The sequence below is a fragment of the Homo sapiens genome, chromosome 10 (assembly GCF_000001405.40).
Source record: "Homo sapiens chromosome 10, GRCh38.p14 Primary Assembly".
Taxonomy (NCBI): Eukaryota; Metazoa; Chordata; class Mammalia; order Primates; family Hominidae; genus Homo; species Homo sapiens.
Window position 1 is genome coordinate 57,303,999 of NC_000010.11, and position 2,730 is coordinate 57,306,728.

The 2,730-nt window shown below is 33.7% G+C and overlaps 1 non-coding gene across 1 annotated transcript; it reads right to left on the bottom strand.

Moving 5' to 3' along the window:
• Positions 1-480: 480 nt before the first annotated feature.
• Positions 481-561, bottom strand: MIR3924 (microRNA 3924). The gene has a single exon (NR_037490.1). It is a non-coding gene; the product is annotated as a microRNA 3924 (primary transcript).
• Between the last annotated feature and the right edge of the window lie 2,169 nt (positions 562-2,730).

Below are 2,730 nucleotides of genomic sequence, written 5' to 3' on the forward strand. Positions count from 1 at the left end.
GCACTGGTAAATAAAGTAAAGTCTAGAGAAATCACAAATGCAAGTTGAACTAGAATTTTGTTTAGAGATTTCTAGGGTAATAAGCAGATGAAGTAAATCTTTTCTTGCATCTGTGGCCCCCAAAAGAAATAACTTGTCACTCTAAATTATCTTTGAGACAAAACAAATTTGTCAGCTATAGTTGTCAGAAAACTGTAAAGTGATGTACTTTAAAATAAAAATTTTAACACCTTTTTCCTCCCTAATCTCCAGATATATTGGAAGTCATGAAATTAAAATGCAGTGTTAGGATAATATTTGCCTTTTTGGTAAATATAATTTATAATCTTAAATTCAAGTGTTAAATATTGAGTCTTTCCTTGGCTTTAGGATTAAACAATAGGTGATGCCAAAATATGAGAAAAGCATCTTCCAAGGTACAATTGCATATCTGTTACATACCTGCATACATAGAAAAGAGAAAGATAGGGGTAAGAGAATTAAACAAAAAAGTAGCAGTCACATATACATATCTGTATATATGACATAGATCTGCATATTTGACTACTACTTTTTCATTTATTTTAATTTAAATACATATTTATGTACACATATGTGCGCATACATGTATCTCTCTGTGTGTATCTATATATTTGTTTTGGAAAATATCAGGTTCAATCAGTTTAACCAGGTTTACTTTTCACAGGACATTTCAGAGTATTTAAAAACTATACTGCATTAAAAATCTCCAGGAAATGATGTATGTGAAGAGCTCCAGAGTGTTGTTTCTCATAGAAAACTTTTTTCATAGAGAAGTTTTTTCATAGAAACATTTTTTTTTAATTTCCAATTTTTATTTTAAGCAGGGGCACATGTGCAGGATGTGCATGTTTGTCACATAGATAAACTTGTGCCAGGGTGGTTTGTTGCACAGATCATCCTGTCACCCAGGTATTAAGCCCAGCATCCATTAGCTACTCTTTCTGATCCTCTCCTTCCTCCCACCACTCACTCTCCAACAGGCTCCAATGTGTGTTGTTCCCTCCCATGTGTCCATGTGTTTTCATCATTTATTTCCCACTTACAAGTGAGAACATGCAATCTTTGGTTTTGTGTTCCTGCATTAGTTTGCTAAGGATAATGGCCTCTGCCTCCATCCATGTTCCTGTGAACTCCTCTCTAACTCATTCTATGAGGCCAGCATCATCTTGATACCAAAACCTGACAGAGATGCCATAAAAACAGAAACCTTTAAAGCCAATGTCCTTGATGAACATAGATACAAAAATCCTCAACAAAATACTGGCAAACTGAATCCAGCAGCACACCAAAAACCTTATGCACCACGATCAAATAGTCTTCATCCCCAGGATGCAAGGCTGATTCAACATACGCAAATCAATCATTGTGATTCATCACATAAACAGAACTAAAGACACAAACCACATTATAATATCAATAGACACAGAAACTTTTAAGATGTCAATCTTCCAGAGTCAGTGACTGTCTCTATTACTTGGGATTTGTAGTTAATTTGTTTCTATTCTTACTAATTTAGAAAACACAATTTCAAGTTCTTGCAAAACAAAACACCTGATGTTTTTCAATAATTTTGTTTGTACTATGATGACATGCAAGAAACAAAAAATAACAATTTTCAAAAACCCATTTAAATGCTTTCATTTGCTAGAGTTTACTTCTCTGGAAATTTCATCCTTCAAGACAAATGAGAACCAGAGAATAAAGAATAAAGTTCTCCAAGTAGTCAAATAAAATAACTACAAGCGACGTTTACAAAAAAAGTAATGGTTATACATAATTCTTAGGTGGGCCATTTAGACAAGGAAAAGTAACATCATATTTTAATCTCTTAACTCACAGACACGTAGAAATTGTCAGTTTTCTGGAAATGGAGGAATAAGAGAACTGTCTCAAGAAGATAGGTAGGTCCACTGACAACATTGTGAGGTGCCCTAAAGATAAAAAGAAGTAATACAAAGCTGTCCAAGAAAACATAAAAAATCAAAGTATAATATCTTGGACTAGTTAGGAGATAAATTACCCTCAGTGTTATCAAAGAACAATAATCAATATTGTAGATATGTTTATGATTAAAACTACATTGTCAAGTAAAAGTTGAAATTCATTTAAAACATTTTATAAACACAGGACAAGTTAGACAAGCATGGACTCTACATGGAAACCCAGGTCTAATTCACCTTAAACTCCTTCTAGATTTGACCATTAGACATTAATGACCTCTTAAAGCATCAACCTCCTCATCTGTAAAATATCCATAATAAAATATCACCAACATTGGAGTCCTGGAGAAGATTAATCATTCCTTGGTTCCTAGTGTGTGCTAATAGAAACTATTATGCCTTCTATTTCTGTTACAACTATTACCAGGGAAAAGTACACGGAAGTTTCATTAACAGATTTATAACATATTGTTAATAAGAACAAAATTCCCAAACTTTCTTTGTTGAAAAACAACTCATTCTCTCATTTACGCTGTGTGAATCACACGTGAACTCAAAATGTTTTTTTCTATTTTCTCACTCAACAACCAATAACATGCATAGGGGACTTTTGTGACCAAATATGTGTTTGTTTTTTTTTTCTCTCACACACCAAGCAAACAATCAATTCTGCAGTGGATAGAAGCTGAGTCTCCTCCAATTCAATTCTGGCACTATCTACCTAAAGACAGCATCAGATCTCACCAGTTGAAGGCTCAGTCCCCACGAC